Source organism: Homo sapiens, chromosome 18, assembly GCF_000001405.40.
Source record: "Homo sapiens chromosome 18, GRCh38.p14 Primary Assembly".
NCBI classification, from domain to species: domain Eukaryota; kingdom Metazoa; phylum Chordata; class Mammalia; order Primates; family Hominidae; genus Homo; species Homo sapiens.
This window is the reverse complement of record NC_000018.10, coordinates 8799506-8812570: the sequence shown is the minus strand read 5'-3', so window position 1 is coordinate 8812570 and position 13065 is coordinate 8799506. Positions and strand designations below refer to the sequence as shown.

Below are 13065 nucleotides of genomic sequence, written 5' to 3'. Positions count from 1 at the left end.
TCAAAACCAAACAAGATTCTACATCTTATGTACTCAAACCTGTGAAAACCAAAGAGAAGACTTAAAGACAGGGAAAAATGACCCATGTCATAGAGGCACAAAGACGAGAGAATTCCAGCAGACTTCTCATCAGCAACTTTGCAAGTCAGAAGATGATGGAGTGGCATCTAAAGTGTTCAAGAAAAAAGATCTCAACCTAGACACAATTCTGTACGCAGAAAAAGTATCTTTCAAAAAAGAAGGAAAACACTTTTCAGCAAATGAAAACTGAAAAAAACAAAAAAACAAAAAAAACCATTGCCAACAGACCTGTACTTCAGGAAATGAAAAAGGAAGTTCTTTAGGCAGAAGGAATATACCAACAGGCACTTTGATCTATACAGAAAATAAACACTGGAAATGACATCTATGTAAATATAAAACTCATTATTTTCTGTTTTAATATTTGATTATCTAAAGCAAAAATTGTTACAGTGTGTTGTGTGTTTACAGAATATGTAGAGGTAAACTATGACAGCAATGGCACAGAGGATGGGAAGGAACTGGGAATACACTGTTGCAATTTCCTCAGGCAGCATGAAAAGTAGCCTAATAGGACTTCAAGGTAGACTCTGATTAATTAAATACGTATATTATAAACCCTAGGGCAAACACTAAAACTGCACAACAGCTTGCTGTTCAGTGTCTCGTTTTTATCCTCATAAGCAATCTCTTATATTTCATTAAGTGCACAATTTTAACAAATTGTATACTTTTCAAAGGAAGGCCTTTCACATAGATTGCCTCATTTGGTGTCTACTGCAATCCTGTAAATACGTATAGGTATCCTTATTCCCAGTTTATTTGTGAAGAAATGGCAGCTCAGTGCTTTAGGGACTTGCCTAAGGGACATGGTAAGTCAGTAACCATTATTCCTATGTAGAGTTCAATTAACTTTCTTAAAATGAGTTACTTCAAGACCCACTAAAATAATTCATAGCTGATTATCCATGTCTGAAAAGATTCTTTTAACTTTTTTGAGACCATAGATATATATATGTATATATATATAAAGATTAATGACTTAAACCACCCAGTATTATTCTATTTAGAAAGATGTCTGTATCAGTGCTGTAGTTTGGATGTTTGTCCCCCAAACTTCACGTTGAAATCTGATCCCCAGTGTCGGAGATGGGGCCTAGTGGGAGGTGTCTGGGTCATGTGGGTGGACTGTGCATGAACAGATTCATGCCCTGCGGCGGGGAGTGAGTAACCTCTCCCTCTATTATTTCTTTAAGAGCTGGTTGTTTAAAAGAGCCTGGCACCTCCGCCCACCTGTACTTCCTTTCTTGCCATGTGATCTGCACACATCGGCTCCCCTTTGCCTTTTGCTGAGTGGAAGCAGCCTGGCCCTCTCCAGCAGCAGATGCTGGCACCATGCTTCTTGTGCAGCTTGCAGAACTGTAAGCTAAATAAACCTTGTTGTTAAATAAATCACCCAGCCTCAGGTATTCCTTTATTGCAACAGTAAACGGACTAAGACAGGCTGCTGAGTGGTGTGCTCAGTTAAACTGGAAGTTTTTGCTCACAAGGGACTCACTGGGAGAGAGCTAACATCGAATCTCGCCTCTGTAATAAAGGCAAATGCTTCATTAAGCGGGGAGAGCACACTGTTTTGTCCCTGAATCTTAGTGGAACTCAGGCCTGCTTGGAGAGAAAGCAGGGAAAGGCTTGAGGAAGCAGATGACAGCCACGGGCACAGGTCAGTGGTGACGCTTCTTGATCAATTATTTATAAAATGTAAATCTGGGGAAAATAAAACTTTTTCTAAGTAGAAAGAATGCAGAAACAAAAGAGGGGAGAAACCTCCAGTGTTAGTTAACCAGAAGACTACCAGAAAAGCACCAAGCACCACAAAATCCCAGTTTAAAAGAGCTGCTGGAAGTCCACGTAACCCAGAATGAAAGACAGGCTGCTGAGCCCCTCGCACGTACGTCTGTTCACCTGTAGATGCTTCCAGCAACCAACAGGTCCTCTCTTTAGAATCTCCTCATGCAGCGTACCCCTTCCTGGGCCCCACATCACTTCTGCTCACCCGCTTTGTGAAGACAGTGAAGGGACACTCCTTCTGCCCACAAGCTCCTCTGTGTCCACACCTCTCAGGTCTCTCATGGTCAGGGTCACCCCTCCCCTCAATGCTTAGAGCCCAATCCCCCTGCCTACTGAGGAACCTCGTGTCATCAGTGGCCCTGCACTGTCAGGTCTCACTGGACAGGCGTCCCCATGACTCCGCGGCTCCTGTTACTGCACTGTCTGTGCTCCTTCTTTCCCCTTCACCGCCAAACTCAACTTCTGTCCCTCGGCACAGCGCACAGTCCTTCAGCCCCGCACACCTGACGGCAACTGTTCTTGTCAAGTTTTGCAGTGCCCTCCTCACTGCCAAGTTCAACAGAACTTTTTATCCTTCATCTGTCCTGTCCTCTTCAAAGCATCCGATATCGCTGAACTCCACCTGGAACGCCACAGCGTCTCTCCCTTTGGCTTCTGGGACAGCATTTGCTTTGGATTTTCATAAATTTCTCTGGCTGCTCCTTTCCAATCTCTTCTCCTTCCACTAATTTCTGCAAAATGAATATTTTGGTTCCTTCTATGAGTTCCTTTCATTCTGTGCACAGTCCTGCAGCGTCCTCCATGGCCCTGCCTCCCACCTCCTCATTCACACCCAGGTATATACATCTTCAGCCCAGCCCTTTTCAAGTCCCAGTGCCTGTGATGACACACACCTCAAATCCAACCTGTCCCCTTTCCATCCCAACTGGTTGTCTCTCTGCGTTCCTGTCTCAGTGATGGCCCATCGCCCAGGCACCCGTACTAGAAACCTGACAGCCGTGCGAGGTGCCTGTTGCTCCACGGCGTCTCATGAACCGGCCACCAGGCCCGGCCACTCTCTACTTGCTCCGTTTTTTTCAGGTGTGTGCCCTCCACTCCTTCTCCACTGCTGCTGCTTTACTTCAGAGTCACCCCTCTCACCTCCAATCTCTGCAACCCAAGGCTCTTCAACGTTTTTACCGTGGACCCAGCTGGCAGCCTGGTGAAGCCTAAAGTCTCCTCCTCAATGTTAATTCTGGGATATCCACAACAATTCTAACGGGAAATGGAGAGATGTGTGTGATTACTTTTTATTCTTTCATTCCATACTTCCTTTCAAAAAGATCCGTGATTTCTGTTGGGCTTGTTGCCTATGTTTATAACCGGAGGACATGCTAAATTTTAGTGGAAAGTTAGTGACCATAAAGATGCGTCTCTTTCCTATTCTGGTTTGGCAATTCCCTGATTTCAGTCTACAGACCATTAACCCCAGGTTAATCCATTCGATTCTAATGGCTCCTAATCCATTCTCTATCTTGAAGCCAGAATAATCTTTTGAAAAAGGGAATCTAAACTTTCATGATAAAATCAGGATTAAAGTATCAATTCCTTAAAATTATTCTTTCCCCTCATACCTAAGCTTCTCAAATGAGCCATGCTCCTTTCTTCATGATACTTTTTTTTTTTTGCCTGAAACTTCCTTTCTCTCCTTTTCCACATTCCAGTTCTTGTCCATCCTTTGAGATTTTTCTCAGCAGGACTTTCACTTTCACAGCCTTCCCTGAATTCTCAAGCCAAGGCATGTGCCTTGCACGTTCCTGTTCCCTGACAGCCTACGTGCAAAAGCCCTGTGGGCACTTTCCACGCTGTTATAAAGGACAGCACTTGTCTAGGTCCCCCCACTGCACTGAGAACCCCTTCAAGGAACATCTGATTTGTTGCTGGATGTTCAACATTTAGAGCAAGGTCTGACTTAGGAGTCTGCTGAAGGAATCGTGGACTTGGGAAGTGTCATCAACGTGGGCTCCACTGAAAGAAGGTAACTTGTAGCAGAATTAAACTGTTTTGCATTTAAGCAGAAGAGGGTAAATATGGGATTATTACAAATGAGCTAGCATCATCCCATATTCATTGCTTCCTGGGTTGCAAATGTTTAAGAAACTTCCTAAATGATTTGGGCAGAAGATAAACTCTCTACCTATTACCACCTGGCTTCTGAATTTGAAGTTCTAGCTTTATTTTTTGGTATTTAGGGACACTCTCCCTGAGGGTTTATTTGTGGCAAACCTGTGGGTGGATACTACGTTCCTATAAAACAAAGATGAAATGTTTTGAAACTGGCTTGCATCGAAGATTACACCTCCCTTCCTTAGCTATAGTTCGGGCTTTGGAAACACTTAACTCCCCCTATAAACATATTTTTTTTAATAGGGTTAAAGACAGCTCATCAGAGACTGTCCTTAGTCATTTCTCCTCCGCTGCTGATGCTGCAGGCCGGGGACTAAGATAAACAGAGCATCTAGGTCAAATCCCCCGCGGGCAGCAGGCAGGAGCCACAATCAGGCCAGCTGCTCTCTCACTTGATGCCCAGGCCTGCAAGGCTGTGTCCCTGCCCCACCCAGGGCTATCAGCTCAGCATCACTGCTTGCTGTGGCCAGGTGGAAATGCAGGGGAACTTGTGGGTACCAGGAGAGCTGGAGTTTTTTTTTTTTTTTTTTGACACATCAAGTCTTTTTCATCTTTTATCAAGACCATGTGACAGGGGTCTCCTTTCCAGGCAATTCTTTTCCTTTCATGACCAGGCCAATCCCTACAAAATTTTACTTACTTTATGGTTTGCCTCAAAATAGAGTCTAGGAAATAGATTACCAAGGATACACAGACCTTCCCTCCCTCCTCATGATCAAGGGGCTGGAAGAAACCTCGAGAGACGCTCTCAGCAGCAGATACCATGTAGGAAGTCACATGACATTCAATGGTTTCCAAGGAAGAAACACTTAGGAAAGGATGTTTCTTGTTATGTCTGATCTTAACTCCTATGGCTGTGGTGTAAGACTTCAGAGGGGGCTTCCCTCTGTGGTGTGAGGTGGAGGCAGGAAACCCGGGCTCTCTTCCTGCCCTAGCACTACATGGCTCTGTGATCTGAGCTGAGCTGTTTCTTCTGGGCCTCAGTTTCCTTTGATATAAATAAGGAGACTGAAATGTATTAGAATTCTTGGGCATGCAGTGGGAGGTCTCCAAGTTCTTTTGATATTTTGAAAAATCTCAATGAAAGCATGCATTTACCTTTTTCAAAGACAACTAAACCACAGTCTGCTTTTGCTTTGCTCCTGTCTAGAGTTATGTCAGCTCAGTGTGATGACAGCTTCAGCCTGGCCGTCCTCTGATGCAGCTAAATACAAGCTTGTTTAATGCAGAATGGGAGAATACATGCTGCTCTGAAAATGCTGCTTGGTGGGGGCCGTACTGCATACTTGGGAGAGGGGACATCAGGGAAAATGGGGACTCTGCACTTTAAGAAGAGACACAAGCAGCCACTCCTCTCTTTTTTTCCTGGACAAGAAGCCCATGGTTCTGAATCTCTCTGTGCCCGCTCCCCCGCCACATATCCTGGACAGCAGAGACACACAGTCAGGATCGAGGGAGACCTGGGAGGGTGGTACCTGTTCCAGACGGCACTTGAGCACGGCCCACTCCACGTCCCAGGCCGCCTTGTCGCTGGCATATTGCTGCTGCAGCCGTAGTCGGGCACGCTCATCCTCCCGCAGCTCCGCACGGAAGTCCTCCAGCAAGGCCTTGAAGGCGCTGAACAGCTGCTGGTTTTCCACCACCTGCGGGAACACTGAGTCAGGCTCCACCACCTCCTTTAAGCGTATTTTTTAGGTCAGAAGAGGAGAGGATCTGGCTATCAAGGTAGTGTGGGGGCTGTTTCCCAGGTGTTGTTGGCAGTGGGTGCAGGGTGGGTGGGGAGTCTGCAGTTAGCCGGGGAGCAAAGAAAGGGTCCCTGTTGCTGGCCATCGGTCTCCTGGGCCTGAGACTGAGGGCCTGTTTGATCAGGAGGAGGGTAGAAGGAAGGCTGCCCTGGTGACCTGGCAGCTGTGTTCAGACGCCGGAACCTGGGCTGGCACTGTGGGAACCTGCCACAGAGGTGCTGTGGGCCCTGAGGAGCAGGAGCAAGGAAACTGCAGGAGGCCACAGGGAACCCCAAAGCCAGGGCTGCCAGTCACTGTGTGACTTTAGATGTCCAGAACACTGAGTTGGGCTGACAAGACTGTCATGAGGGTGCAGATATGACAAGACCTACACACTCACCTACATATATGCTGCCATTCTAGTGCCAGATGTTGTACTAGAGGAGAATTAATAAAGACCGAGGACTCCTATGCACATAGGGTAATCAGACTCCGATTGGTGGTTACTAAAAGGTCACAGATATGACACACATGGCCACTGTGTGTGGGTGGGTTTAATTATTAAACATTTTGATGTTTAATAATTAAAGCCAAAGGTGAAATGCATAACCTGTTCAGGAAGGCTTTATTGTGGTCCCTTGAGATAGAACTATCAGCCCCCACTTTTCTGCCTCTTGGAAAGGACAAGCCAGACCCACCCTCACATTTCCAGTATTTGGCACAATCCTTGGCTCATGTTAAGCATGCAAATGTGTCTGGTAAATGAAGAGTGGATTTTTATTACTAATCTGCTTATATCTAACTTAAAATGGTTTATATGTTCTGAAACCTGCCCAGCCCTTTGAAGTCAAATTTCAAAGCCATGATTTCTGTCTTAGTACATTTCAGCAAGGGCATTATATCAGAAGGGTTTGGCCAAATGAATGAAACACGCTGAATCAATTATGGTACCTTGATAATAAAAGCCTCGTGAGCCCATCTCTTCCAACCAGCACGGAAAGCACATCACAAGCTCTCAGGGCGGTCTCAGGGCATTCTTTTTTGGTGCATGTATGAAGCAAGAGTTATAAAAGCTCTCTAAGTCCCACTGGACATAGATAAGCTCTACTATGGAAAAACAGAGCCCCACCCTCTCAGAATTCCTCATCCCCCAAACTTGATAAACCTCTCCTCCCTGGTTCAGCAAGTACACTGGGACCCCTCCTTCAGGTTCTACACACACACTGGCCTTCACTCCACAGTCATGCTTCTAAATCCATCTAGTTGATCCACTAAACATACACAAAAATGGTTAAGTATATATGGGAGGAATTTAAGATACTTTGGATGGATGTTTGTATTTACATAAAATTGTGCAGCCACAAAAAAGAATGAAATCATGGCTTCTGCAGCAACATGGTTGCAGCTGGAGGCCATTATCCTAAGCAAGTTAATGCAGGAACAGAAAACCAAATACCGCATGTTCTCACTTATATGTGGGAGCCAAACATTGGGTATACTCGGACAGAGATGGGAACAACAGACACTGGGTATTCCAAAAGGGGTTGCGAGGAGAGGGGCAAGGGTTGAAAAATTACCTATTGGGTACTATGTTCACTACTTAGGTGATAGGGTCATTAGAAGCCCACACCTCAGCAACATGCAATATACCATATAATAAACCTGCACATGTACCCCCTGAACCTAAAATTCTATATATATATATATATTCAAAAATAAAGTTGTATTAAAAAGAGAAATTCTTTAATATGAGCAGATTTATTATAGAGATCTCCATAGTTGTCCCCAGCATTTAATTAAGTGGACTTTTTTTTTTTTTTTTTTTGAGGCAAGGTCTCGCTCTGTCACCCAGGCTAGAATGCAGTGGATCACGGCTCACTGCAGCCTCAACCTCCTGGGCTCAAGCAGTCCTCCCACCTCACACTCCCAAGTAGCTGGGACTACAGGCGTGTGCCGCCATGCCCAGCTAATTTTTGTATTTTTTGTAGAAACAAGGTTTCATCATGTTGCTCAGGCTGGTCTCAAACTCTGGCCTCAACTGATCCACCTGCCTCAGCCTCAGAAAATGGGATTGTAGGCATGAGCCACCGTGCCCAGCTACAATGGACTTTTGATGGAGTAGAAAGGCCAGTTTGTTCATATTTATTGCTCTTTTTCTCACAGGGAACAATTTTTACTTTAATAACTCTGGGACAAAAGGCATTAAGAGTACAAGTCAGTTAACATTTGAAGAACTCGGCAGATAGGGAACCATCTATGAGTCTTATACATTCTTACCAACCATCTGAATAGAAATAAATTACCACTATACTCAAAGACATGCTCACCATATATGTGAAGCTGTAACAAACACAGAACAGTTTTTAAAATTCCACGTCAAAAAGTACCTAAAAATTAGCGTTGTGGCTCTTGCCTGTAGTCCCAACTACTCAGGAGGCTGAGATGGGAGGATCGCTTGAACCCAGGAGTTCAAGGTTACAGTGAGCTAAGATCACACCACTGCCCTCCAGTCTAGGTGACAGAGCAAGACCTTGTTTCCAAAAAAAAAAAAAAAAAAATCTAAAAATTATATAAGTACAGTTGAGTGACAAGAGGTGTCACAACAATCTTTTCAGAAATATACATCTTCATATAGAATTTGCTGAATAATCACATACATTTTGTGGTAGATTTGTTTGGGAGTTTCATCTTTAGATTTTAAATTAAAAATCACTGCTTTTTGAGTCAAGAGTATTTCAAGCAGAAAATAATTATAATAATTTTGATCCAGATTTTGGAGTAGTCATTTAATTTTCACTGAAGAGAAAGCAGAAAACCATATGATACATTCTTATATGTAATCGATGGTTTTCTATGAATGCCAAGTTACATATGGTATCAGCCTATGCTGTTCTTGGCCCATACACCACATGACATTAGAATCAGAACTGTACAGTCCTCTTGCAGATTGGAAACTTGGTTTCTCTGGAAGCAAGTACTTTTTGGCTTTAACAGATACTGAATTCAATAAAATTTAAGCCTTAATGATTTATGCATATTTGCATCAGAGTAATCAAAACAGTGCTCTATTCAACCAGGATAATATTAATCATTGCGGAATGAGCTCCAGAATTGCTTTGGGGTGAAGGTGGCCAAAGGGAGCAAGAGAGCCCAGCTCAATGCTATTGGTACCTGTTATCATCATTCCTCAAGAGCAGCATGTGGCACAGCAGGAAGCCAGGCAAGCTCCTGCCATTAGCACACAACGGCAAAAGTGGATGTCTGTGTCAACATTTCTGAAGACCCAGAATGGGCCGTAGATAGGCATGATTTTCCTAATGACTTTCGCACACAGGCAAAAAAATAGTAATGATAACTACTAATATTATAGGTGCTTCCTATGGCCAGGGGATGTACTAAATTATTTGCCAACATGACCTTATATATATGTCACATCAATTTTGAGTGCATATACTATGTTCCCCATTTTACAGAGGAGGAACTATGGCTTGGAGTGGCTGAGGGCCAAGGTCCCACTGTCAAGGAAGTGAGATCCTGGACTGCAGTCCAGGTTGTCGCGTTCCAAAGCCAACAAACCGAGCCAGGAATATTCGAATTCTGACATTATACCCTGCCAAGCCTTTTTCTTTTTCTTCTTCTTTTTTTTTTTTTTAAACTTTACCTTGCAGAAGCCATCTAATCCCCATGAAGCTAATTCAATTTCCCCTATCAAGGGAAATTAATGATAGTGAGTCATCCTGAGAGAATACCTAAAAGTTAACTGCTCTTATTTTCTTCCCCTGGTGGTACCCCTTGCTGGGTTACCTTTTGGGTAAAAAGATGACCCAAATCAAGTCAAGAATCAAATTAAGACTCGGTTCCATTGAGATGTCTTTATGATGCAAGTCTTCTTGGACAACAGGCTTTCTGAACCTCTTGTGCCGGGGTCTAGCCGTGCAACCTTTTAGCTTGTACATCTGGTGAGTGTAGGTCAGTTTCAACTCAAAAATCTGGCTTTTCATTCAGAGATCAGCTGGCTGATTTTCTAGCAAAGCAGCAGGATAAAAAGCTTCCACTTATTTCCCTCTCCTCCACCTAAGGGCATTACAGCCTCACCTAGCTCAGCTCTCTTGAGTGAGACTTACAATGTGCTATAATATGTCAAACTTTTTAACAGGTTCAGAATTGGTCTTTGGTCCATCAGACTGCTATCCAAGTCTGTCTATCCAAGTCTAATATCCAAGTCTATTTATAAGTATTACTAATAGAAAGTGAAATGGAAGTTTGTAGATAAGGTAACGTATCAAGGTATCTGTGATGCAATGCTGGCTAATTTTCAAAATTGTTCTTGCCTAAGATTTCTAAGATTTCAGCAGGTGAAATCACAGCTCCACAAAAGAGCTAAACCACCACCGACTACTTTGCTTGCATCACAGCCACTAACTTTGGAGATAGGATTAATCTAAAGCTGGAACAGACATATTGACCTGCTGCTATGGGTTAACCCACAAAACGCCAGTCACAAAATAGAGGTGATAGCATCCACGTTTATTCAGGCTCCTTGACAGAGGCAGGAGAATTCCAGAATGATGTGGTAGCTGCCCAGACCCCCACAAGGCACGCACAGCTCCTTTTTGAGACCTCACTTAGCATTCAACACAGGCAACTCCTCCACCAGCAGGAGTCCCTGGACAAATTCTTTACTGTGAGATTAGCTAGAATTGATACATTCACACAGCCAGCAGCATTTTTATAAATGAGCCATTTGTCGTTCTCCTCAATGTAACCTTCATTGTTACATCCAGAAAAGTTCTTTTCTAAAAACCATTATCCCCTACAGAGAATGGGCCACTCAAGACAGACCCTGAAAATATAATCTATTAATATCATGGGAATTAGAGTCATTTACACACAGAAGTCCTCTGCCCTCTGGCCAAGAGTCTGCCCGGTGATCCTGTCCAGGAGGGCTCTGGGCTGTGGTCTCCACAAATGCCACTGAGAGCTTCCCAAGAATGAATGTGGATCCGGGAAAGAATAAATGAGGCACATATTTAACAAGCTGTAAACACAGTTATCAGCCCAAAGGCTTAGGAAACCAGGGCAAGTCTGATGAAAATCAGGTGGCCATTAGGGAAGAGACTTATTTGTGAGGTCCCAGGCTTAGTTACGCACTTTGGAAGGCCTGTGGCAAACTGCAGGCCATGGTTAACTCTGGGAGGTAGGATGGGGCAAGGAGAGTCCTTTCATCAAGCACCCATCTGCACATGTGAATTTTTACCTCACGCAGGGGCTACTTAAAGAGTGACAGAACAACTGCCACCACAAGTACACGGCAAAGATAAAACGCTTCAGATCCTAAGCTCTGGTCTGGTTCCTCTTACAGAAAGAGTAGCACGCCTTATAGGGGAGGCCTCCCAGTTGCAGGATAAACTGAAGAATGAATCACGGTATGACGTACAAAATTGAAATGTAAATACCATCTAGGCTCAAGATAACTTTCTAATTAAAAAAAAAAAAAAAGTCAGGCAGATCACAGTTCTGATGTGAGGCCTCCTCTGGCAAGGGTGCTCTTTCTGGAAGTTTTTCATCTTGGGCAAGCAAAGGTGGGCAGCCTGCATGGCCAGAAAGGAAGACTGCTGGGGCCTGGGAGAGCCACAGCCCCGGAAGCCCAGGGAGCCAAGGGCTCTCTGTCTGCAGGAGAAAGGCTGACTTCTCAGGCAGCCCCCGAAGGCCCTAACGCAGCACAGAAGCCCCGACAAGGAGCAGAGGTCCAGGGAAGTGGAGTCTACTCAGTCCTGAGGCTGGACTGGATGAGGCTCTTCAGTGGCCTGTAGCAGGTGAAGACTTAAATATGAAACACAATTCCTTCAGCTCTTGCTATGAATTTTATATTAAGTTCTTCACACTTTTTTTTTTTTTTACTTAGTTGTTTTACTAAATGATAATTAGGTCACATCCCTGAATGAAAAAGTAACTTCTTTTCAAATCAGTTAATCCAAGTAGGGAAAACAAGCTGTTGGCACCCCAGGGCCATCATTCCCACACCATTAATCACCTTGTGTGAAGTAGCTGGATTCCAGGAATTACTAATCAGCATGAAATGCATAAACAGCCTTAGGAATGCTGGCCTCAAATGCTTAACGCAGTGGCGTGAGTCTTGGAGCTCAAGGAAAACTGTAAGATTCCCTCTTGCGTGTGCGCAGCCTCTGCTCTTCAGGATGGCTGGGGAAACTGAAAGCATTCACTGTGGCTCTAAAGCGCCCAGGTCATGACTGCGAGCTCACGTGGCTGAAGACAGGGAAACAGGGAATGTCTGCGGAGCCAAATGTTTGCCAACCTGATGATTTGTTATGAGCCATCCCAAGGTTGATCGGTATATGCAGTTTTTTTTAAACCTCTGTGGACGTGATAAATGTTGCCATCTACTTGAGTTCAATTGTGAGAACGTTCCATATGTCACAAAGCAAAGACCAAGGCCTGAGGAATACTGTGACTGAGAACTTGTCCTTGGGAAAACGGCTTGGCTAGGTTTCCCATGCTACTAATCGCCTTGCGAGGTGCTCGGCGTTTCGGGAACGGCCCGGCTCTGTGCAGCTCTGTGAGACACGTACCCTGGCTCTTGCATCCCAGCTGCCTGGCTAATACTCATGCCAGTCACAGAGAGGCAAATCCTCTAACCGGGAATGTTCCCTCCCAGAGAACCAGCTGTCGTTACAGTAGAGCTCGTCCATCTTCCGTCCTTGGACAGACAGAGGGTTGTGCATGCGTTAGTGAGCTCCTTACTCACTACTGTGAACACTGGCCCACTTGGCAGACCTGGGTCTGAGTGTCTGGACCCCACCCCGCCACGTGCTTCTATCACACATGGCCCGCAGTGGAAGCTCACGGGTCCATCTCCACTTTCGTGGGTAATCGCTAAAAACTAGTGTTGGAAGAAGCAGGAGGCAAAGGGAAATGACAATAAAATATGCTGAATGTAAGGTTCCAGCTGAGTGACTTCACGTTATTTTCCACCCTGACAGTAACATTTTCTATGACTGTTGTTTAGAAAACCAGATGTGCGAGGTTTTCTCCTTGTCCAGAGCATCTGCGTGAATGCGTGGGAAACACGTTTTCTTAGACGCAGCAGGTTTGTGGCGAGGTGGGAACAGTGGCCATCAGTGGCAATATTATGGGAGGTAAGCACAGATGCTTTATGGGATTGAATGACAACATTTCTTTTCAAAAAGTAAAATTAGTAGATTGTAAAGCATTATTTGCAAAGTAGCATTTTCATTTCTAACTAGATTATTGCTGGAAAACTCATTCCATGACCTAAATTCTCCCC

At 44.5% G+C, this 13065-nt stretch overlaps 1 protein-coding gene across 35 annotated transcripts in view, besides 1 other annotated feature; it reads right to left on the bottom strand.

The window, feature by feature from the left end:
* MTCL1 (microtubule crosslinking factor 1) overlaps nucleotides 1-13065 on the bottom strand; it is a 127223-nt gene that overhangs the window by 20208 nt on the left and 93950 nt on the right. For 19 of the 35 annotated variants that reach the window (XM_024451115.2, XM_024451110.2, XM_011525640.4 and 16 more), the window contains 2 exons: nucleotides 5511-5678; nucleotides 3010-3123 (listed from right to left, as the gene is read on the bottom strand). In XM_024451115.2, coding sequence (XP_024306883.2) covers nucleotides 3010-3123; nucleotides 5511-5678 — 282 coding nt within the window. Of the gene's footprint in view, nucleotides 1-2372; nucleotides 3124-5510; nucleotides 5679-13065 lie in introns of all 35 variants that reach the window. The other 16 variants (XM_024451113.2, XM_024451117.2, XM_024451118.2 and 13 more) reach the window with 3 other exon arrangements.
* Nucleotides 11194-12393: an enhancer, noted in NCBI's record as "P300/CBP strongly-dependent group 1 enhancer chr18:8800176-8801375 (GRCh37/hg19 assembly coordinates)". NCBI's record gives its function as "activates an origin of replication core promoter dependent on BRD2, BRD4, P300/CBP, MED14 and CDK7 cofactors, with strong dependence on P300/CBP, by STARR-seq in HCT116 cells {active_cell/tissue: HCT116}" and the evidence as "EXISTENCE:reporter gene assay evidence [ECO:0000049][PMID:35650434]".